Source organism: Homo sapiens, chromosome 5, assembly GCF_000001405.40.
Source record: "Homo sapiens chromosome 5, GRCh38.p14 Primary Assembly".
NCBI classification, from domain to species: Eukaryota; Metazoa; Chordata; class Mammalia; order Primates; family Hominidae; genus Homo; species Homo sapiens.
The window spans coordinates 112,798,424-112,823,647 of NC_000005.10; the positions used below are offsets into that span (position 1 = coordinate 112,798,424).

Genomic DNA, 25,224 nt, shown 5'->3' on the forward strand with positions numbered 1-25,224 from the left:
TAAATGGACAGCAGGAATTTTATTGGAATGATGAAAATGTTCTAAAACTGGATTACAGCTGTGCTTGATAAATCTAAAAGTCATTTAATTGAACACTTAAAATGGATGGATTTTGTGATATTTAAATACCTCACCAAAATTTTTTTTCAAGTTCTATCACCTAGAGTAGAAAACCTTGGAGAAGTTGTAAAGCAACTATGGAAATGAGGAAACTAGTTAGAATTAATCTTTCATAATAGTGAACAACCACTTCTTTTGTCTTCAGTGTATCGAAGCGTGCAGGCAGGCCTGTAGCCTAGGATCAGTGAAAGAATAAAAAAAAGTAATTAGGAAAGAGGAGGGAGGAAAGAAAATGAAGATAGTAAATGTTAAATGGTAGTTTGGGTTGGAATTGCCTGGGTTGGAATTCCAGCTCTGACTCTGCCATTTACTAGATATGTGACTGAAAACAAGTTACTTATATTCTCTGTGCCTCCATCTCTTTATCTATAAAATGGGGATAATGGCCGGGCACTGTGGCTCATGCCTGTAATCCCAGCACTTTGGGAAACTGAGGTGGGCAGATCACCTGAGGTCAGGAGTTCAAGACCAACCTAACCAACATGGTGAAACCCTGTCTCTACTAAAAATACAAAACATAACCAGCATGGTGGTGGGCGCCTGTAATCCCAGCTACTTGGGAGGCTGAGGCATGAGAATCGTTTGAGCCGAGATTGCGCCATTGCACTCCAGCCTGGGTGACAGGGCGAGACTCTGTCTCAAAAAAAAAAAAAAAAAAAAAGGCACTTTAATATTACTCAACATATTCAAAACATAATTAATGATCTGTTCCTCCTAAGCCCTCTTTACTACCCCACCTTGCAGCAAAAAACCTTCATCCTCCCTCAGTATTACCTATCTCTGTGAGGAGTAGCACCATCATTATTGAATTGTGTGAGCTAAGGAATGTAGGAGTAATACTCCACACCAGACCTCTTCCTCCACTCCCCATATCCTGTCAGCGAACCCGATCAGATTTACCTCTATGTCTCCACTTCTTTTATCTCTGTCACTGCTTCCCTAGTGCATAGTGCCACTGTCTCACACTTATATTAATACATTAGCCTCCTAACTGGTCTTTCCTATGTTTCCTCCCTACTTAGACCATTTAAAATTTGACTTAAAAAATAAAATTTACTTGCAACTTTATCCATTAATATATTAGTATTAATTATGTGGGGGCAATCATGCAGTGGCCTCACTGTAACTTGCAAGTAGAAAAGGCAAGAATGCCATCTAAGAATCGCAGAAAAAGGCATTAAAATTTAAATTTTTTTATCATATTCTTTTTGTTCTACTTTCCTCCTTATTTTTGGTGCTTCATCCACACCATGATTCGTTGACACGCTAAAACAAGCCACACTCCCTCCTACCCTGGGTCCTCTGCATGTGATCTGTTTTACCCAGAACACTCATCCTCTACTCCTCCCCTTTGCCTAGTTAACTCCTATTTACTCTTCAAGTCTTTACTCAAACAGCACTTCCCAAGAGAGCTCTTCCAAACCTCCAGAGTATATCATATCTCTCTGTTATATATATTTACAGCACCTTGTACCCTTCTTTCATGGCATTTGTCAATTTTACCTTTATTATTTCTGTCATTATTTGACAGTGTCCCTGACTAAACTGTAAGGTCCAAGAGAGCATAGAACAATGTCTAGTTTTGCTAGCACTGTATTCCCCAGCATCTATTGCAAGTAACTAACATAGTAGATGGTCAGTAATTTTCTTTAAATATGTTGACATCTTCACTTACGTTAGTGTCAAATCTTTGTGGTCTTAGATTCATTTTGTCTCTAGGTTGACTTTATGTATGTATATCTATTCTTGTGGATTCCATTAAATTCTATAGCATGATTTTCAGATGGTACTAATTATTCTTATATTTCTGGATTACTGAGTGCTACCTCACTTTTGCCAGCATATAACTGATACTAGTTTATTGATGGAAATGTTGCATATAAATTAAATTTTTAAGTCACATTTTTTAAATGATCTAGGAAAGCTTGATGTTTAAAGAAATTACGTTAGGAATCATTTTGTAATTTAATTATCCACTGTTAGGTCAGATTTTTAATGTATAATTTTTATTTTAGATATTTTTTTCCTAGAACAAGCATATAGGTGTTTCTATAAATGACCGTGAGAAATTCTTTTATTTCTTTAATTTTGTGGTGGTATTTTTATAAAGTGACTGCTTTGTGCTAGGGATAATCTATCTTGAAATGACTGCTTTTACTGGATGTAATCTGTCATTTTAATTTCCTGTTAACAGATGGTGGTTGCATTAGAAAAGGCTTTGGGTTTTATTCATATCAGAAGCTAAGAGCCTATCATTTTATTTCACCTAACTTTTATTAGAAGATATACATATATATATATATATTCTATGTGAAAATATACCTAAGTAGAAGATATTTGTAAGCTTAGGTAATAGTTTAACTGTTGTATTTGCAGCTCCATTAAATGTCAGAATCATGTGTCCTTGCAGAAAAGATAGTTATTTGTTCTACTTGGGTTATGTTCCTGATAGTAATGTGAGCGCAGCTGGTAGAGGATGGCATTCCTGTGAGTCTCAGAAAATCCTTTGTCTCGTGCAGCTCTAATGCTCAAGGGACACACTTCACTTTCCCCTTACCGAGATAGTCGACCGCCAATCGTACTGGAGGTTATGAAGTGTAATACACAGTTCCATGCCTTTATCAGTCTGTATAATTGATGCATTCAGAGCTTTAAAGCAAAAAAAGAAAAAAAGCCTTGGGCTAAGAAAGCCTACACCATTTTTGCATGTACTGATGTTAACTCCATCTTAACAGAGGTCATCTCAGAACAAGCATGAAACCGGCTCACATGATGCTGAGCGGCAGAATGAAGGTCAAGGAGTGGGAGAAATCAACATGGCAACTTCTGGTAATGGTCAGGTAAATAAATTATTTTATCATATTTTTTAAAATTATTTAAATATCAGAAAAGTATGAAGCAAGATGGTTCTAAGAATGATCTATAAATCTTACCTATTTTCTTAGTCCTGAATGCATATTTCCAGAAGCATTCAGTACCAATGTGCTGTCATTTCTCTTTATTATATCAGCAATAATGCTGTAAGGATTTTCTAGATCTATTTCTATAGCTATAGATTGTGTGTTTATGTTTTAGTCTAAAATGATTGTGAGTAGTTTTTTTTAATAACTCTAAGCTGCATTTTGATTATGTATATGATTTGACCTAGTTATTTTTGCTTGCCTTGAATAGGTTTGCTCTTTCACTAAGACCTTCAATGTAAAGACATTTTTATGGTTTTTTTTAAAGTTATAAAGGCTTTATTTCCTGTTGTACTTAAAGATTATATAAATCTAGAAATCCAAGTCTTACTGAAAAAGATAATTGTAATGCACACAAAAAAGTAAGGCAACATGGCCTAATTATGCTTAATATTACCACATCATTTTCAGCAAAATTATGAAAGTAAACTTTTTTTTTTTACATACAGAACTGTTATTTGTTATGCTACCATCCGTTATCTTATTAGATTTTTATTGAAATACAGTGCAATAGGACAGAATTTTTCTTTAGGGTGTTCTGTATTCTCCAAATTTTCTTCAATGAATATTTTTAGAGTGTAAATGAATGACTTTTTAAAAACAGAATTTCACTAAATTGTTCTTAAAGGTAATTTTTCTACTGTTGATACAGAAAATTTTCTTAGTCTCTCTAGGTTACTTTTGATAGTATTGTTTTTAAGAATATGCTTCTATTAGTTCATTAAAATGTAAAGCTTAAAATGTCTTATTAAGTATTTAAATTTATTTTACTGAGTTAAAACAAACATACTTCATTCAGTATTACTAGTTAGCATTATATTGGAAAACAAGTGGTAAATTAGGACAAAGGCAATCATGTTTAAACAGCACATTTGAGTTATGTATCTGTCTTTTGTTTAGGGAATTAGTTGCAACATTTATATATTCCTACACATATGTAGAAGGAAGAAAAATTTAATCCTATATGACAGAAAAAAATATTTACATAGGAATAGATCTACTCGTAGTGCTTTGGGTCATCTTCCAATTATTATGTACTTTGGAAACCTTACCTATCCAGTAAGCTGGCTATGATAAATTGGATCCATATTACACTTACTACATCAAAATAAATTCTAAGTAGATTAGATTTAATGTCAAAATGAAAATCATTAAAAATATAAAAAGATTAGAAGAAAATGTGGGTAGCGTTTTTATAATCATGATGTAGGTGGGAGACCCATAAAGAAAGGATTGATAGATTTCACGTTACAGCATGAGACTTCAGTATGCCAGGAAATCATAGCGAGATTCCAAAACAAACAACCAAGATCACATTATTTGCAAACATTTATGACGTGTAAAAAGTTAAAATTCAAGATGCAAAAAACAGTATTTATATACCAGCTATTTAAAGAGTATCTTAAAATGGTTCCAAGCCATCGTAGAAGTAAAAAAATAAATAATAATTTTAAAAATAAAATTAAAATGGGCAAAGGATATGAACAGGAAATAAAAGAAGAAATTAAAATGACTTGTAAACATGGAAAGATGGTCAACTTTACTAATCATGATATATAAATACAAATTAAAACTAAAGTCAGATTTCGTGGGGGGGCCATTTAGTTGGCAAAAATCAATAACACTCAGTAATGGTGAGCAAACAGGCATTCTCATATGTTGCTTTTAATTGTATGACATGAAACAGGCTTTCTGGAGAGCAATTTTGTCAAATGCATCTAGCATTATTTATAATGTGCCTGTTGTGAAGCTCATCACTACAACATCTAAGATTTTTTGCTAATGAGATAATCAGTCAAGAGTGATCAGACATGTTTGAAGAGATTCATCATAATACTAACAATAGCAAAAAGTTAGAAATAACCTAAATGGACATTGATCGTAAAATGGTTAAATTATTAGTCAGCTGTAGATTAGTTAAGTGGCTCTGGAGTCAACAAACCTGGGAAATCACACTCCCTCACTAACTAGCTTAGTAACAAAAAGTCTCTGAGCTTTAGTGTTTCCTCTTTAGTAAAATAAGATGATGATAAAACCTCTACCTCATAGAACAGTTGGGAGAGTTAAATGCAAGATACCCTTAACACAGTCCCTGGCATATTGTCAGAGCTTAGTAAAAGGTAACCGATTCTGTTGTTAACAAGTGTTAATAATTATCTTTAAATTAACAAATATGCCAGATACTGTGTTGGACTCTAGAATTGATAATTGAAAAGGACAGACAGTCCTTGGCCTCATGGAACCTATATGGTGCATCCATGCAAATATTAAAAATGATAAATTACATCTCTATTTATGTAAAGATCTAATTTTTAGCCTTCAATTGTTGCCTTTTCTAGTATATCCTTCATATTATAATCAGTTATTCTTCTAAAACATGAATCTGATTATATCACTTATTTGTTTAAACCTTTCAGTGGCTACTCACCTCCCATATATTAGAATCCAGATTCTTCATGTTGCTTACTCTTCCAAGAGTATCTCACAATATTTGCCCACATTTCTCACCACTCCCTCAACTTCAACTTCTTCAGTTCCTTGAGTATGTCCAGGCCTTCCACAGGACATTCCTTTGGTCTAAAACTGTCTTCTGCTTCAGTTCATATTATATGTTTTACTCATCCTTCCCCACCGTTTAAATGTCACTTCTTCCTGGACATTTTCCTTGTCTCCACCTACCTGGAATAAATAAAGTACTCTTTGATACGCTGTATTCCTGCTCTCATAGTGCTTAGCACAATTTATCATTGGTTTAATTGTCTTCCTTCCTTCTTAAAGTCCTTTAAGCCACACCTGCTCCTCACTGTATGCCAGCCAACTAATATGTACCTGGCAGAGAGCATTTATGTTGAATATTAATAAATATTATTGACTTAGGTAATTATAACTTTTTTTTTGGAGACAGAGTCTCGCTCTGTCAGCAGGCTGGAGTGCAATGGTGGGATCTCAGCTCACTATAACCTCCACCTCCTAGGTTCAAGCAATTCTGCCTCAGCCTCCCGAGTAGCTGGGACTACAGGTGTGTGCCACCACACCAAGCTAATTTTTGTATTTTTAGTAGATACAGGGTCTCATTGTGTTGGCCAGGATAGTCTCAATCTCTTGACCTCGTGATCCTCCCGCCTCGGCCTCCCAAATTGCTGGGATAACAGGCGTGAGCCACTGCGCCCGGCCAATTACAACTTTTTTAATTTAAAAATAGCAAGTATGCTGGGCATGGTGGCTCACACCTATAATCCCAACACTTAGGGAGGCCAAGCGGGAAGGATTGCTTCAGGGTAGAAGTTCGAGTTCAACCTGGGCAACATAGGGAGACTTTGCCTCTGCAAAAAAAAATAAAAATTAGCCGTGTGTGGTAGTCCCAGCTACTTGGGAGGCCGTGTGGGAGGATCACTTGAGCCTGGGAGGTCAAGGCTGCAGTGGGCTATGATCATGCCACTGCATTCCAGCCTGGGTAACAAGGCAAAAAATATTTTTTTTAATTTTTATTTTTTGTCTAAAAAATAAAAAAAAAAACTTAAAAGCAAGTAAGTATGATCTCATTATACATATGTATAATGTGTGTATATGCATAGAGAAATGTGTGGGAGAATGTTCTTTAAACTGTTATCAATAGTTATCTCTGAGTGTTGGGATTTTTGTGGGTTTTACTTATTCTTTTGTGTGTCGTTTTATTTTTTGTAATGAACATGTATTACTATAATTTATAACACCCAAAACCCATTTTCATTTTGGGAAAATAGAAGAAAGCACTGTCTTGATTTCCGTTGTATGGTAGTTTAGGTTGCCATACTTCAGAGTCCTACCATGACATACATCATGTCATTTATGTCAGTATAGGGATGGCAGAGGAAAAGATCTATTGAAAATAGTAAATCAGGGCCCGGTATTCATTCCTCCTTTAAGTGATGAACTCTGATAGTGCTGTGAATTCAGAGGTAAACATAAGTATGTTTGTTTAGCAGTAGCAATCATAGACTTGCCCACCATATTGGTGTTTGTATGACACTAATGCTGCTAATACTATCTGGTTACTTTCAGTCACTGTTTTAAAACAATATTGCAGCTATTCCCAGATCCTGATGTAGATGTGTGACCTGTATCTGTGGGACTGTGATTTGTTATTCCAAAAGTCCTTTCATCTAAATAGGATCTATACACATGATCGCCTCTTGGGGTTTATTAGTTTGTTTTGTTTTATTATTTGCTCAAAAGACAAAAGCCACCAACACTAGTTGAAAATGAAAATCAGTCTCTGACTTTCTCAGGATCACAGTAGCATGCTCTGCCAAAGTTCTGTCCTAGAGTAATTCTCTTCACCACCACGTGGGAATGTATTCTACCGCTTCTCTCACCTGGTTTCCTGCCCACAATCATTCTCTTTGAAAAATCCTTCATTGGCTTCCCTTGATTCTTAGAAAAATGATAACCATTTATTGTGACCCAGGTAACCTGGCCCCTACCTATCTTGTCAGCTTTATGTCACATCTTGCTCTCACACCTCCACACTGGCCTTCTCTCAGTACCTCATATTTACTGGGCCTTCTCCTACCACAGCCTGTGCACATCTATACCTGTTCCATGTAGTGTTTGTTTCATCCCATTTTGCTCAGTTAACACCAGTTCATGTGTGTCTGAGCTTAAGCACCAGTTTCTCAGAGAGGCTCGAACAGATCAAATCTCACTACCATAGGCTGTCACAGCATGTTCCTCTCGTTTGAAGACTACTACATTTGCAGTTTTACATTAATTTGTGTGATGACTTGATTAATATTTGTGTTTCCCCCACTAGACTGTAAGCTCCAGAAAGGCAGGGATTCTATCTAGTTTTGTTATTTTCATACCCACACAGTCCCTGATAAATAGTAGATAACAATAAATATGTGGTGTGTGTAATATCCCTGCTAAAGAAAGGGTTTCTTGATCTGTTTTTAATCTCTCATGGAAGTTAAATGGAAGGAAAAGCTTAGGAGTAAATTATACAGGCCAGATCCCTGCTTGCTTAGCATATAACTATGTGTATAATTTATTTATTAGTTGGTTCTCAACTTTATTTATTTATTTATTTATTTATTTATTTATTTATTTATTGAGATAGGGTCTCACTCTGTCACTGTACACCACTGCACAGTGGTGCAATCTCGGCTCATTGCAACCTCTGCCTCCCAGGCTCAAGCCATTCTTCCACTGTCATTCTTGGATAGTTGGGACCACAGGTGCACACCACTGTGCCTGGCTAATTTTTTAATTTTTTTATAGAGATAGGATCTCACTATATTGTCCAGGCTGGTTTTGAATTCCCAAGCTCAAGCAATCCTCCAGCATTGGCCTCCCAAAGTGCTACGATTGGCTGGGCATGGTGCTCACACATGTAATCCCAGCACTTTGGGAGGCTGAGATGAGTGGATCACTTGAGGTCAGGAGTTCGAGACCAGCCTGGCCAACATGGTGAAACCCCATCTCTACTAAAAATACAAAAATTAGCCAGGCATGGTGGCGTGCATCTGTAATCCCAGCTACTTGGGAGGCTGAGGCAGGAAAATCTCTTGAACCTAGGAGGCTGAGGTTGCAGTGAGTTGAGATTGTACCACTGCACTCTAGCCTGGGTGACAGAGCAAGACTCTATCTCAAGGAAAAAAAAAAAAAAAACGTAAAACCAAAGTGCTGGAACTACAGGCGTGCACCACCATGCCCAGCCTGTGGAAAGTGTTGACCAAATATCTTCTGTATATCAGAGTGTTTCTATGGCAATTACAGTTTGACAGTTTACTGTGGTAATTGTATTTTAGGGAGTTCTGGGTTTTTGTAATTTGTTATTTGGGGAATTTAAGAAATTAGTTTTTCCAGTACCCTTTATTCTTTTTATACGTTACATTGTTACTTGTGAATCAGCCATATATAATTTTTATATAAACAATATTTTTATACTATACAACTTACTCTTGTCATTTAATAATACTTTGAGATATCTTTTCCTATCTATATGTGGTTTATAGATATGGAAGTTTTTAATCCATTTTTCTTTCACTATTTTTTCTTTTTTTCAAGCAACCTAAGCTTTTCTATTTGAAATTTAGAACCAGGTCTCTGGTAATAGCCAGTATATAATAATAAAGCTCAATTAAAAGTGGGAAAAAGATGGAATGATAGAAAAACCCACTCTACTGCCACTGGTTTTTAAAACTTTTTCTTATGGAAAATTTTAAACATTTACAAAGACAATAATGTAGTGATTCATATCGACATGTAACCTATTCACCTTAACCTCCCATTTTATTTTTTAAGAAGATTCCAGGCATCATCATCACTTCTTCCCTGTTTCACTGTGTATTTACAAAAGATAAAAGTACTTATTAAAAATACATAACTGGCCAGGTGTGGTGGCTCACACCTGTAATCTCAGCATTTCCAGAGGCCGGGGTGAGCGGATCACTTGAGGTCAGGAGTTCAAGACCAGCCTGGCCAACATGGTGAAACCCTGTCTCTACTGAAAATACAAAAATTAGCCAGATGTGGTGGCGCACACGTGTAGTCCCAGCTACTCGGGAAGCTGAGGCAGGAGAATCACTTGAATCCAGGAGGCAGAGGTTGCAGGGAGCCGAGATCGCACCACTGCACTCCACCCTGGGCAAGAGAGCGAGACTCTGCCTCAAAAAAATAAAAAAATTAAAAAATAAATAACTGCAGTGGCATTATTACATCTCCAAAGACTCTAACAGTAATTGTTTAATAGCATCATTTATCCAGTCAGTATTCAAACTTGCAGTTGTTTCATAAATGTCTTTTTCACAGTTTATTTGCCTCAGGGTCCAGATAAGGTCCATGAATAGGAATTAGTATATCTCTGATATCTGTTCTAATCTGTATGTTCCTTCTTTTTGTTTTACGGCCATTTAGTTATTGAAGAACTAAAGTTGTTTTTCTTTTTTCTTTATGGTTTTCTGGGGTTTTGTTTTTGTTTTTGTTTTTTTAGTCAGGATCTCACTCTCGCCTGGACTAGAGTGCAGTGGCAAAGCTCACTGCAGCCTTGAACTCCTGGGCTTAAGCGATCCTCTCGAGTAGCTGGTGCTATAGGCACTCACCACCATGCCCTAGGCCTCCCTCTGTTCCCCAGGCTGGTCTTGAACTCAAACTGATCTCAAGCAGTCCTCCTGCCTCAGCCTCCTGAGTTGCTGGGATTACAGGTTTGAGCCATCATGCCTGGCTTCCAAATGTTTTTTTTATAGAGTGTCCCATACTCTAGATTTTGCTGATGACTCCCCATGATATACTTCAACATGTTTCTTTATCATCTGTATGTCCTATAAATTGGTAGATTTCAGTATCTGAGAATATTCAAGAAGTAGAATCAGTCAAGCTTAGGGATTGGATATGAGTGTTTAGGGGGAAGGAGAAGTCGAGAATTACTCGCAGGTTTCTGTTAGGCAGCTAGAAGGGTAGTGATGCAATTTAGTAATAATGCTAGATGAGAAGGAGGTTTGTGAGAGAAAATAATGAGTCTAGTTTTGGAAAAATGTTAAGTTTAACTTTAAAGATGTTAGGTCTGAGACATCAAAGCAGAAATGCACCTGGGTGCAGTAGCTCATGCCTGTAATCCCAGCACTTTGGGAAGCAAAGGCAGGTGGATCACTTGAACCCAAGAGTTTGAGACCAGTCTCAGCAACATAAGGAGACCCTGTCTCTACAAAAAATACAAAAAAAAAAAAAAATTAGGCGTGGTGGCATGTGCCTGAGGTCCCAGCTACTTGGGAGGTTGAGGTGGCTGACCCTGGAAGGTCAAGACTGCAGTAAGCTGAAATCATGGCACTGTACTCCAGCCTAGGCAACAGAGTGAGACCCTGTCTCAAAAAAATAAAATAAACACACAAAGTAGAAATGTGAGGTAGGCTATTAGATTTGGAATTGAGAGGAAAGGTAAAGAATTGGTAATTAAAGGTATTAAAGATTTTTACATCCCCAATGAGTATACAGTGAGAAGATGAATACCTAGCCTAAAATTCCAAAGCAGTAGAATAATATTGTTACAACAAAGAGGGAACAGTTAACAGTTTCCACCATTGCCATGAGGACTAAAAAATCACCTTGGGTTTCACCAAAAAAAAAAAAAAAAAAGTTCATTGCTGATCTTGTCAAATGCAATTCCTTGGGCCTTCTTTCCTACTATATTATATTGGAGTGAGTTGAAGTTAAATGGAAGGTTAAAAAGTAGAAGAGAGCAGTCAGGCGTGATGGCTCACGCCTGTAATCCAGCACTTTGGGAGGCCGAGATGGGCGGATCACGAGGTCAGGAGCTTAAGACCATCCTGGCCTTGGTGAAACCCTGTCTCTACTAAAAATACAAAAATTAGCTGGGCGTGGCAGCGCGTGCCTGTAATCCCAGCTACTCGGGAGGCTGAGGCAGGAGAATCGCTTGAACCCAGGAGGGAGAGGTTGCAGTGAGCTGAGATCCTTCCACTGCACTCCAGCCTGGTGACAGAGCAAGACTCCGTCTCAAAAAAAAAAGTAGAAGAGAGCAATTTTAGCTAACTGTAAAGATGTCTAGATGTGAACTGCCCAAGAGAGAAAAGATCGTTAACTGATACAGACTATAAGTTTGAGAGAAAATTTATTTCTGTTTTTAAGATAGAAAAGATGAGGATGTTTGAATGCTGATGGGAAGGAGCCAGTAGAGAAGAGAGTTGAAGATCCCTAAGATCAAAGAGAAATGGAGAGAGAAAGGATCCAGAGCACATCTAAAGGGATGGACCTTAGATAGGAGGAGGGGAACTCTGATGTCACAGCAAAAGGTGGCGATGGATATATACGCAGGTAATTTTAAGGTTCTGGTTAGCAAGAAGTTGAGGAAATTTTGTCTGTTGGCTATTTTTTCTATAAAGTAGAAGGTAAAGTTATATGCAGTAAGAGAAGAAGAGCCACAGTTTTATATGATACAAAATGAGGCATATCAAAAATAGCCAAAGAAAGGAGAGCTGACAAGGGAAACAAAAAGATGGCAGTTATAGCACGGAGAGTCTAGGTGTATTGGTGACCATAAATGTATATCGACAGCATCCTAAAGAGTTACGTAAGTTTCTCACATGCTCAAATTTCTCTAATGCTGCCTGGCACTTCATGTCAGGGTGTAGAGAAAACAGACAGTTGGATTCATCTGTGATTGCAATGTTTCCAGACAAATGGGGTGGAATAAGTGCAGGGCAAAGCTGTTAAAAGCTAGCAAGAGAATTATGAAAGTGATAACCACAAGAAATCCAACCTGAAATACATGCTGGATTTGCTAGTCATTTCAAGGAAGCAGTATCTTACTTGCGGTCAGGAGTTTGAGACCAGCCTGGCCAACATGGTGAAACCCTGTCTCTACTAAAAATACAAAACTTAGCCAGGAGTGGTGGCACATGCCTGTAATCCCAGCTACTCTGGAGGCTGAAGCAGGAGAATCACTTGAACCTGGGAGCCAGAGTTGGTAGTGAGCTGAGATCACGCCACTGCACTCCAGCCTGGGCAACACAGCAAAACTCCATCTCACACACACACACACAAAAAAAGAACCAACATCTTAGAGAAAGTTGAAGACCAGGAAATAAAAGGAGCATGAAGTAAAATGTTGAGGATGTATGGATATTTATAAAGCATTGAATGTGGATGGTACAGGAAAGTTGGATAGGAAAAAGGACAGTGGGAAATAGTGTCTCACACATTTGGACACTGAGTGTCAGGAATGATACAGCGAGTGCTTCTATCTTTGGACAATGAGCAAAGCTGATTCAAGGGATGTGCAATCATGACTGACTTAGCAGGTCTTGAGGTTGTGAGAAAGTTCATCACACTCAAGTTTATTCAGAATTTAGTTTTGAGTTGGGTGGGAAACAATTCTTAGGAAGTTATTAATCATTTCTTGTGGATAGGGAGACTCTAGTCCCTCCGAAAGAAGTTGGCTCAGGTCTAGCCTTAATAAAACGCCCAAGAAAGACTCTCATGGACCAAGTTCTAGGCTCATAGAGAATACGAGTATGTGTACCTCTTGGTATCTCCTAATAATAAATACATCTAAATTTCTACTGAGACAGATTGGTGAATGAAGAGTGTCTCAAAATCCAGGAGCTATATAGGAAGATAACTAAGACTGAAGCTTAGAAAAGATTTGTTGTCTACACTGAAATGAATGTCAGAAACATGTTTTATTGTGGAAACAGGTTTTCCCTTGTTTCATAATTAAACCTCCTGTTTTCTTTTGTTTCAAGTAGTACATTAGTTAGCTATTGCTGCATAACAAATTGCCCCCAAAACTTAACAGCATTAGTAGACATTTATATTTGCTTCTATGGATCAGAAATCCTGGTGCAGCTGAGCTGCCTGTCTCTGGTTCAGGGTCTCCCACAAGACTTAAGGGTATTGGCTGGGGTTGCAGTCATCTCCACACATAACCAGGGGAGGATCTGCTTCTAAGTTCACTTACGGCTATTGAAGGCCTCAGATCCTCATTGGATGTCAGCCAGAGAGACATCAGTTCCTTGTTACATGGGCCTCACCAAGGGCAGTTCACAGCATAGTAACGCTTCCCTCAGAGGGAACAAGAGAGGTGCCCAAGATGGAAGACACGTCTTTGTAACCTTATCTTGAGAGTGCTTCTCATCACCTCTATAGCATTTTATTCACTAGAAGCAAGTCACTAAATCTAGCCAAGACTAAAGGGGAAGGGATTACAAAAACGCGTGAATACCAGGAGGCAAAGATCTATCTTAGAGGCTACCTACAAACAGTAAAAATATTTAGACATCTTCCAAGATTGTGTGTTTGCTTCAGGGTAAAGACTCATTTCCCTTCTATAGACCAAGAAAAAGGTTCCTTGTCTGAATTTACTAAAAAAGCCCCAACTATCCTCCTTAGCCTGAGTCTCAGTCCCTCAGATCTATCCTTTATTAGTTAGAACCAGAGTAAGCTCCTTATGTTCAGATTTATTTGTAGTTCTGCCTCCCCTTCCTCTCCACACACACACAAACACAACTATACCATATTCTTCTGACCCTTGCTTATGCCTCTGCCTTTGCCTGGGCTGCCCTGTGGCTAATCCCCCTCATTCTTTTTATTAACTAAATTACTCCTCATGGTTCAAGTCCAAATTCAGATGCCACTTTTTCAGGAACCAAGACTGAATTGTGTATCTTCCTGTGTGTTCATATAGTTTCTGTCAAAGCACTTACCCACACGTATTTTCATGTTCAGCTCCTCATCTAGATTGTGTGTGTAGTGTGGGTGAGAATGTCTTATTCATTTATATTCCTGGTGACTAATATACTACCTGGAAAGTAGCAGGGGCTCAGGCAATATTTGTTGCTTGGTTGCATGTGGATTTAAAGACCATTCCAGAAGCAGTCAATAGCTGGTGGCAGTGGAAAGAGATGTAAGATGAGTCTTTCCTTGATGCCTCTTTTCCCTTCCCTAAGGAGGATTACTAATTAGTTTTGTCCTAGAAGTGTCCCTAGTCAGCATAAAGAGTCCAGACCCACAAAGGAAGTAGAGACTGGAAAGGGGAGCCACTCTGGACTCTGAACTAGTATTCTCAGTCCAACCCCAGACTTCCCTATGCGAGTATGAATAAGTGGATTATCTTGCCTTTATATGGGGACACATTTTTTAAAACCTCTCAAGTTAGGATTTTTTAAAGATCACTTTTATTGAAGAAAGATTAGTATGTGATAAAATGTACCCATTTTAAGTGTACAGTTGAATGAGTTTTGACAAATGTAGTTTTCTCTTTAAAATGCTGATCTAAAATAGCTAATTATTGTGAACGATGATCTAAAATAGTTTTGTGCACTAGTCAGGAAAACCTCACCTTGGCTTATAACATGACTTATACAGAAGTTCTAAGCAGCCCTCATAAAAATTAACTTTGGAGTATTACCTATTTAAGGACTTTATGAAACAAATTTATAACAAATTTGAACAAGGAATTTATTACGAATTCAGAAATCTCTGTATGAGCCCTTAATTATTGCTTGATTAAAATCCTGACGAATCACTTAGGAATACATTGTTAACAGTTTTCTATGTTGTCTACCAAAGTGGAAGTTATCTGGCAAACAGTTTACGTTGCTAGCTAACAGGGAAGAAAAGTTTCTAATACGTCACCATAGCTGGGCTCATTGGCTCGTGCCTGTAGTCCCGGCTACTCTGGAGGCTGAGGTGAGAGGATCACTTGAGCCAAAGAATTCAGAGCCAGCCTGGGCAACATAGTGAAACCTTGTCTCTAAAAAAAAAAAAAGAAAAAAGAAAAAAAAATCACCAAAAGTGAAATTTATGCACAAAAGGAAGTTATAAGGTGTGTTGGTTCCAGAATTCTCCCCTTGTACCCTCTAGAGTAGGAGGTGCCATCTCACAGTCCTCAAAACCTATTACTCCCATTGTGGTTTTCTCTTTACCTTCTTCAATTAGCCAGAGCCTGTATATCTGAAAGACAATTCGAATGATGTCCTGCATCTTGACATTCTTACGGATTTTACTAATAGCTCCTCATTTATTTATAATTCAACAAATATTCTGTGGATACCTACTAAGCTTAAGACCACCCTTGGTACTAAGAATGCAGCAGCGAACAGAATAAAGTTTCTGTCCTCAAATAACTTACATTTTAGCTTTCCATTCTGCAAGGTTGAGAACTGCAAAAGAATGCCTGCAAATATTGCTGACACTATTCTTACAGTCATTTCCTTAATTATTAATGAATGGATTTAGCTGTGGCCTATATTTTGATAGGTCCCAGTTATTTATCTGCAACCCCACCTCCTGTCCAGAGTTGCATCCTTTGTTTTCAGGTGCCCATTGGGGATTCTTACTGGATGTCAGATTCAAAGTGAGCTCAGTTCCCCCAATGAAAGCCATCATTTATTTCTGGGTTTCCGATATCCATTACGAGCATCATTACTTACCCATTTATCCAAGCTTGACACCTCCAAGTTGTCCTCGACTCCCAGCCCCTCTTTACTCACATCCAGTCAAGTTACTCAAGCCAGTTAATTTGACCTTCAGTTCAAGCCAATTAATTTGAATATCCTTCAAGAGCATCCCCACTTCTCTATTCTCACTGCCTTAGTTTGTGCCCTCAGAACCACTCAACTGCTGAAAATACCCTCTCCCTCATTTCCTACCTGTGATCTCTCCGTGCTGTTTTTAAGACGTAATTCTGATTGTACCATTCTCCTGCCTGAAGTCCAGTGACTCCACAGCTTGACAGCAACATCTTTGAAATGACATGAGATACTTAATGATTTAACCCAACCTTTATCTCTAACCATACACCTTGTGTTCTGTCCACATTACATTGGAACACTCCACGCTCTCCGTATTTGTACCTTTGCACAGTCTCCTCCGTCAGTCTCCTGTCACAAAATGCCTACCTTAAATGTTACTGATTTTATACAGCCTCTAATAGTCCCTATGCAGTAATTTCTTTCTTCCTGTTTTCCCTCAGTGTTTTGTTCATTCTTCTACTGCGGTGTTTATATTATACTGCACTGCAGTCATTTATTTTTTCATGTCTTTGTCCAGTAAAAGTTTTAAACAGCCCTTTCTAAACTGTGAGATCTTAGAGAACTTGGACTGTAGCAAATTCATACTTAGTTTTCTGGCAATTTGGAGCATTTCAGAATTTGAACATTCCTTCAATGCTTTTCATCAATGAACTTATCTGAATGTGGTTTTATTTATTTAGATCTATGAAAAATTACTACCCTAGAATTTCTTCAGTCTTTGGTTAAGTCCATTCTGCAGTTTAATGCTCATATGCAAGAAACTCTCTTTTCTTTAGTTTTTCTCTAAAACATACTTAGTAAGCGTATAGGTAAAAAATATTTTGAACAGTTATAATGGTCATACTTTTATGATGTATTTAATTGTTTATCATACAGACACTTCATTTGGAGTACCTTAACATGATGTTATCTGTATTTACCTATAGTCTAAATTATACCATCTATAATGTGCTTAATTTTTAGGGTTCAACTACACGAATGGACCATGAAACAGCCAGTGTTTTGAGTTCTAGTAGCACACACTCTGCACCTCGAAGGCTGACAAGTCATCTGGGAACCAAGGTAACAGAAGATTACAAACCCTGGTCACTAATGCCATGACTACTTTGCTAAGACATTCTTGGCCAGGTGCAGTGGCTCACACCTGTAATCCCAGCATTTTGGGAGGCCAAGGCAGGTGGATCACTTGAGGCCAGGAGTTCAAGACCAGCCTGGGCAACGTGGCAAAACCCCATCTCTACTAAAAATACAAAAATTTAGCCAGTGTGGTGGCACACACCTGTGGTCCCAGCTACTCAGGAGGCTGAGGCATGAGAATAGTTGGAACCCAGGAGGCAGAGGTTGCAGTGAGCTGAGATTACACCGCTTTCTAGTGGAGAATTCTGATTCACAGTCTCTTGAAGAAATTACATATTTTTATACAACGAAGCATAAACAAGGGAAAAATCAGGTTTATAAAAAGTGCCAGATTAGCTAATTTTTAATTCTTTTTCAGTCTTTACATCCACTTTTCTGCAAGAATACTGAGTTCCAGCCAAACTGGCTCACTTCCTGCTTCCTGAACATTCCCTGTGACTTTCCCCCTCCCTTCCTTGCCTGCATTGGTGGGGACCACCATAAATGTCTGTCAGAATCCTAGCCAGCCTTCAAAACTCTTCTTGGGCTTTGCTTTTTCACAAAACATTTTCTGATTCCCAAGGTCCTCTTACCTCCCCATGTGATCCATCTGCCTCATTTGAATCACTAACAATTTGCATGAACCTGTCTTTTGGAAATCAAGAAATGTTTTTTTACTTATCTTTTGCTGTGTCTAACAGAGTGCCTGCACATGAGTAAATATGTATTGAGGTGAATGGAAAAATTGTTGAAGTTGAGTGTTATTTCATGCTGATAAGTGAGCTTTCTTAGAGTATCTTTCTTAGATGTTAGCAAATATTTTAGGATTTGGGAATAATGTTTGAAAAGAAAATAGTTACTTTAAGCCGGATGTGGTGGCTCACACCTGTAATCCCAGAAATTTGGGAGGCTGAGGTGGGTGGATCACTTGAGGCCAGGAGTTCGAAACCAGCCTGACCAACATGGTGAAACCCCGTCTCTACTAAAAATACAAAATTAGCCAGGCATGGTGGCACATGGCTGTAATCCCAGCTACTCGGGAGGCTGAGGCAGGAGAATTGTTTGAACCTGGGAGGCGGAGGTTGCAGTGAGCTGAGATTGTGCCATTGCACTCCAGCCTGGGCAACAAGAGCAAAACTCCATTTCAAAAGAAAAAAAAAAGAGGAAAATATAGTTACTTTATTATTTTAAAGTCAGAGATTTGATTTTATTTTTATTTTATTTATTTATTTATTTTTTGAGATGGAGTCTTGCTCTGTTGCCCAGGCTGTAGTGCAGTGGCACGATCTTGGCTCACTGCAACCCCCACCTCCAGGGTTTAAGTGATTCTCCTGCCTCAGCCTCCCAAGTAGCTGGGATTACAGGTGCGTGCCACCATGCCCGGCTAATTTTTTGTATTTTTAGTAGAGATGGGGTTTTGCCATGTTGGCCAGGCTGGTCTCGAACTCCTGATCTCAGGTGATGCGCTCATCTCTGCCTCCCAAAGTGCTGGGATTAGAGGCATGAGTGACCACACCCGGCCCATCAGAGATTTTAATATTCACTAAGATGAAATGAAATTCTAATATTACTAAACGATGTATTTTCGATTAACTCGAATTCCATTAATTGTTTTCACAGCATACTCTGTATACTCTTTCTTTACTGTAAATAATATAATAGCTCTTGGGAAAGGTATTACTGAAATAACTAATGTTGATTTAAGTAATGATTTTAGAATAATCAATGATATTCTCACTATGAGGCTTAATCCTGTTTATACTTCTTGGGACCTCATATGCCATTCACTGTGCCAGGAGTTGTATGTACCTTATCTCTGGTCCTCTCCAAAATTCTATGAAGTATCCATATTTCTCTAAATGAGAAAACTGAAGCAAAAAAAATTTTAGGCATGGAAATTTAATTCCAGATCTGTCTAACCTCAACATGTAGTTTTTACTATAAAGAAAATCTTGAATATTCAAGAGTAATATTGTGTGAAAACTGGCAATTAGAATACTGTTTCTTTTTGAAGTAATTTATGCATGATAATATTAAGACCCTAGTATGTATTTTGAATGCTAGCTACTGTCCTATACATGTATTATTTTATTTCACCTTAATGGAGAAAACCTTGTTAGGTAGGTAAATTTCTCCATTTTGCAGCTCAGAAAACTGAGGCTCAGAGAAATCAAATAGCTTAACTATAATAGTATCACAGCTTGCTCCTAAGAGGTGGAGCCAAAATTTGAACCTAGCTCCGATGAAAACCCATTTATCCGCAGTCCTATACTGCCTTCCTAAAACTTTCATATCTAAAGGTGTATGTGTATTTACGCATCTAAAGCAGCATTTCTAAACCTCAGCACTATTGGCTGGATAATTCTTTGTTGCATTCTAGAATGTATAGTAACGTCCCTGGTCTCTCCCCACTAGATTCCCCTAAAATACCCATCCTACAATTGTGACAACCAAAAATGTCTCCAAGATGTTGTCAAATGTGTCCCGATGGGGGCAAAATTGCCCCCAGTTGAGAACCATTGACTTATAGAGAATGATGCATTCTTTATATAATAGCCTCTACTTTTATATAATACCCTCTAGCGTTAAAATGAGTGGACCATGGCCCAGGATAACTGGGTGCCACTTTCCGGTTTCTAATCTGCTTCTAACTAAATACGTAGAATTTATTGTCAGAGAGTAATTAGTACTTACCAGTTGCTTTTTAAAAAACTGACTACAAATCCTGGCTCTCACTCTGTATGATCATGGCATTTTCCTTTTTATGACAAAATGTTTTTAAATTTATAATCGTATAATTTTAATAATATTATCATCTGACGAGAATTAATGATTGCTGAGAATTAGTACTTAAAATTGTTGCAGAAATGTTTTCTGTTTATTGCTTATAGGTATAGATTAAAAGAAATAAGATAAAGTTTTAAATTATGTAAAGATTTAGATAAACTACATTCTCTATGTGTGTGAAATCCGTTGTTTTTCACTGATTATAGTCAGTGGATTAGCACCAACTTATCTAGGCAAACAGCACTAACAGTTTGTTAGTGAGTATGCAAAAACCTACTTTTGCTTTTAATACTGTATATTACCACTCATACTATTTACTCACATAAACAAATTGGTGATGATACATAGATTTTGAAATAACACTGATTACTTCATCCTGGAAAGGTTTTCCGGTTTTTTGTTTTTTTTTTGGCGGGGGGGGTTGTTTTGTTTTTTTAGAGTTATAGTAAATATCCCATTCATCACTTAATTGGTTTTTGGCTTTTGGATATTAAAGTCGTAATTTTGTTTCTAAACTCATTTGGCCCACAGGTGGAAATGGTGTATTCATTGTTGTCAATGCTTGGTACTCATGATAAGGATGATATGTCGCGAACTTTGCTAGCTATGTCTAGCTCCCAAGACAGCTGTATATCCATGCGACAGTCTGGATGTCTTCCTCTCCTCATCCAGCTTTTACATGGCAATGACAAAGACTCTGTATTGTTGGGAAATTCCCGGGGCAGTAAAGAGGCTCGGGCCAGGGCCAGTGCAGCACTCCACAACATCATTCACTCACAGCCTGATGACAAGAGAGGCAGGCGTGAAATCCGAGTCCTTCATCTTTTGGAACAGATACGCGCTTACTGTGAAACCTGTTGGGAGTGGCAGGAAGCTCATGAACCAGGCATGGACCAGGACAAAAATCCAAGTATGTTCTCTATAGTGTACATCGTAGTGCATGTTTCAAAGCAAATGTGAAATTTTTAAACAGAAAACATGTTTAGTTAATATGCTGTCTTTATGACTAAGAGGAGAAAATTCATATCAGCCATTTGTGCTACTCATATTTAAAAGATTAAGTCTGTATTTCCCTAGAAAAATTTAGCAAAGGAAAATGTTATGTGCACTACTATAAGAACAGTAAGTCAAGAGAAATTTATACAATCATAGCATAGTAGGGCCTTAGTAGAGCTAGAAAGAACTTGAGCAATTATGTTGCCCATCTTTCACTTCATAGCTGAAGCTCATTTCATAGATGAAAGTGACTTTACGTAAGTTCCTATAGCCATTAGTGTCCAAACCATAATCTTTTACATTTGCATATCATTATATTCAGGGGATACAGAGCAGCGTTACATCTGTTATGTTATTTGCTCCTCACATCAACCTACTGAAGTAGGAAGGGAAGGTATTATCATCTCCATTTTACAGATGAAAAAACTGAGGCTCAGAAGAGCTAAAGGACTTAACCATGGCCTCACACCTAGTAAGTGGTAGACCCAGGAACAGAGCCCAGATCTCCTGACTCTCAGCTCGGTGCTCTTCCTACTGTACCATCCAGCTGTAGACAGTGGGCCTCAGTTGCTGGGAGTGATAATCCACCCAGCTCTTCACTCAGGAAGGGACCCTTAGACCTCAGCCCCACTCCCGCAGGAGCAGCATGGGAGTTAGGACCTATGGGGATATAACTTATTTCATTCCTGTAGCCAAGAACCAAAAGCAGTAAGTATGTAAGGTAAGACCTTCCTTTCACCTGATAAGAACTGACACACACACACACACACACACACACACACACACGTGCACTACAAGTAGATGATTCTACTGTATCAGCCTATTGATGTGAAGAGGAGATGATACAAACATGACTTATGAACCTATAGCAGATTTTTTTAAGCTTAGGTATGAAGGTGAATTTATTTGAAATCTAAAAATGTTCAAGGATAAGAAAGGCCAGGTGTGGTGGTTCATGCCTGTAATGGCAGCACTTTGGGAGGCTGAGACAGGAGGATTGCTTAAGCCCAGGAGTTAAAGACCAGCTGGGCAGCACAGTGAGACACTATCTCATTTTTAAAAAATTTAAAAAGCATAAGAAAAAAGGGATTGCCTTTCATATCTATTTGTCCTGGGGTGAGGGGAACTAGTAAGATTTTACTGGGAGAACATTGCCTTCCTGGATTGTTTCTTTGGCTATCCACAGTTACGTAATGACCCACATTTTGTACTCCTGATATTTGTTCTCAAAAAATTAAATAGAATAAAATGATACTTCTTTTGAGAAGTTTTTTAAAAACTTACGTCAAATGAGTTTTGAAACCTCGTGCATAGTATTGAATGTGGAGGTACATTTTCTTAGTCACCCTTTTAAAAAATATCTGTTTACTGTCTAGTATATCTGTGTAACTTTTTGTATTAGAGATCACATTTGTACATAGCCACATGCTTTTTTTCTCTGTTTGTATTGAGACAGGGTCTCACACAAGCGCCCAGACTGTAATGCAGTGGTGCGATCACAGTTCACTGCAGCCTCAACCTCCCAGGCTCAAGCACTCCTCCTACCTCAGCCTCCTGAGAGTATCTGGGACTACAAGCATGTGCCACCACAACTGACTAATTTTTTTTTTTTTTTTTTTTGAGAGACGGGGTTTTGCCATGTTTCCCAGGCTGGTCTTGAACTCCTTGGGCTCAAGGATCTGCTCACTTCAGCCTCCCAAAGTGCTGGGATTACTGGTGTGAGCCACTGCACCTAGCACCATGTGCTTTTAACCCACACTCATGATAGTAGTTTAAATAGAAATTATAAACTGGGCTAAGCACGGTGGCTCGTGCCTATAATTCTAGCACTATGGGAGGCCCGGGCAGGAGCGGCACTTGAGGCCAGGAGTTTGAGACTACCCTGGGCAACATAGCAAGACCCTATCTCTACAAAAAATTTTAAAAATTAGCTAGGGATTGTGGGGTATGCCTGTAGTCCTAGCTGCTCCGGAAGCTGAGGCAGGAAGGTCAATTGAGCCCAGGAATACAAGGCTGCGGTGAAAGCTATGATCATTCCACTCGAGCCTGGGCAACAGAGCAAGACCCTGTTTTGTTTTTTTTTTGTTGTTTTTTTAAAGAAAGAAAGAAATTATAAACAAAATTAAACCATTTTATACCAAAATATTTTTATTATTTTGTATACTCAACATAATTTTAAGTTATTAGCTATATGAGTAATAGCATAAACCTCCTAGACTTATTCTAAGAGACTTAGTCAAGGGCAGATGAGTGGTAAACATTTTTATGGAAACAAATCCCTTTATTCCTATTTTTTGTTCCACATTTGTAGTATTTATTCATCCTTTCAGCAAATATTTGTTGATCCACTAAAATTCCGTGAATTAGGGTTATATTAGTGATCCCTGCATATTTTTAAAGTACAATAAACATCATTGCTCTTCAAATAACAAAGCATTATGGTTTATGTTGATTTTATTTTTCAGTGCCAGCTCCTGTTGAACATCAGATCTGTCCTGCTGTGTGTGTTCTAATGAAACTTTCATTTGATGAAGAGCATAGACATGCAATGAATGAACTAGGTAAGACAAAAATGTTTTTTAATGACATAGACAATTACTGGTGGATTTTTAAATCATGGTAGAAATTCAGTATAGTAAATAAAGATTTTTAATCATTGATGAATTAGGATATAAGGCCACCAACTTCTGTTATCAGCTGCTTCCTCTGTGTAGCAAAAAATTGTACCCTGGTTTCCAGCATAGAAAGGATCCTGAATCACAGAAACTGCTACCCTGTCATAAGCTAACTTTTTCAAAATCGAAGCCGGAGATTGAAAAAAAATGACAAAATGGGTCACTCTTTGTCCCTTTTGCCAAAGTAGACTCTATATGTGCCAGCTGATGAGGATGGTAATTTGAATTATTTTGAAATGTGGAGCTGCTGTATTGTGATTGAACTCAGTCACTTTTGATGAGCATCAGAGGGAATTATTATTAAGATTGTCATTTATCTTCATGGTTATTGGTACTTTACAGGATTTTCATCATAAGCAGCCTGGTATCTTTGAAATTGGTTAATATAGAAAAGTATTATGCTTTAAGTCAGAAACATTTCATTATAACTTTGGAATGATTACTTCTTTAGGTATGTATTTTCACACACTAAGCCTTATATAACCAGCAGTGCACTCCATTTTTTATGTAATGGTTTTTCTTTGATTTCTAGGTTCATTTTGTACATGTGGTATTTATAAATTGCATCATGCTGAACCATCTCATGTGAACTGGATCTCTCTAGTCATGCCACAAGCAAGAACCATACGCTTAATTCCCATTTTAGTGTAATTGTGCCCTTGCTTTTTGTGCCGTTTATGTTACATTATGTTCCAGCCACCACTTTATATTCCTATCCCCTCATCGTTTCATTCGTCATTTATCTTAAAAGTGATGAAGTCATGAGACTCTTACACAGAGAACCTGAACAGCCAAAAGTATTGTCTCCTTCAGAGTCATCACTTTGGGAGGCTCTGCACCTTAAGATTTCAGGCCTGCCCTCTGGCCATGCTTTCCTTCCTAGTGGTGTAGCAATTGGCCTACCTGATTCTCTTTCCTCCCCCTGGTCTCCTGTGGATTCTCAGTTAATCTTATGAATTCTCCCCTCGTTAATACAATCTCAGCATTTGTGAACATTTTAAATTTTTTAAAATGCTAATCATAACAGGAAGGGGATAAAAAATAATGAATAAACAGGAAAACATTCAGTTTTAAGATACCTCAAAAGTTATTCTGTAAATGTTCCTGTATTCCAATGGATTGTAGACTAGGACTGAGACATTAATCATCTGGATTTCAAAATAAAACCTAGACTCAGTATTTGTTCCTCTTCCTTCTTCAGGTAGGAAGGCTACCCGGGGCATTTCATCACAGGAGCTAGGGCAGGGGCTTTCAGGTGAGGAGCAGGATGGGGCCTCTGGGGGTGTGACTGCTGGGGACATAGCCACAGGGGATTACCTTCTTCTCACTCCTCACCTCCAGATTTGCACTGGGGCAAAAGGAGGATTAGGGTGTGTGGATTGCGGGGAGATAATAGTACAAGACAGCACAAGGTTTTGGCAGTAAGGGATAAGGAGAAAAGAAATCCCAAATAGGTAAAGGGGAATTCCTTAGTTCAGTCAGCTGGGATGGTCATTTGTACATATATGAAGATTCTACAGCTATCAGTCATTTAAGTTTGCA

At 38.1% G+C, this 25,224-nt stretch overlaps 1 protein-coding gene across 37 annotated transcripts in view; it reads left to right on the forward strand.

The window, feature by feature from the left end:
* The window catches only part of APC (APC regulator of Wnt signaling pathway), a 138,742-nt gene that overhangs the window by 90,926 nt on the left and 22,592 nt on the right, over positions 1–25,224 (forward strand). For 11 of the 37 annotated variants that reach the window (NR_176365.1, NM_001354895.2, NM_001354897.2 and 8 more), the window contains 4 exons: positions 2,856–2,960; positions 17,072–17,170; positions 20,543–20,921; positions 23,473–23,568. Coding sequence is in view for 35 of the 37 variants with exons in the window: in NM_001354895.2 (NP_001341824.1) it covers positions 2,856–2,960; positions 17,072–17,170; positions 20,543–20,921; positions 23,473–23,568 (679 nt within the window). In the remaining 2 variants the exon portion in view is untranslated. Of the gene's footprint in view, positions 1–2,855; positions 2,961–11,702; positions 11,889–17,071; positions 17,171–20,542; positions 20,922–23,472; positions 23,569–24,883; positions 24,938–25,224 lie in introns of all 37 variants that reach the window. The other 26 variants (NM_001407460.1, NM_001407469.1, NM_001354902.2 and 23 more) reach the window with 5 other exon arrangements.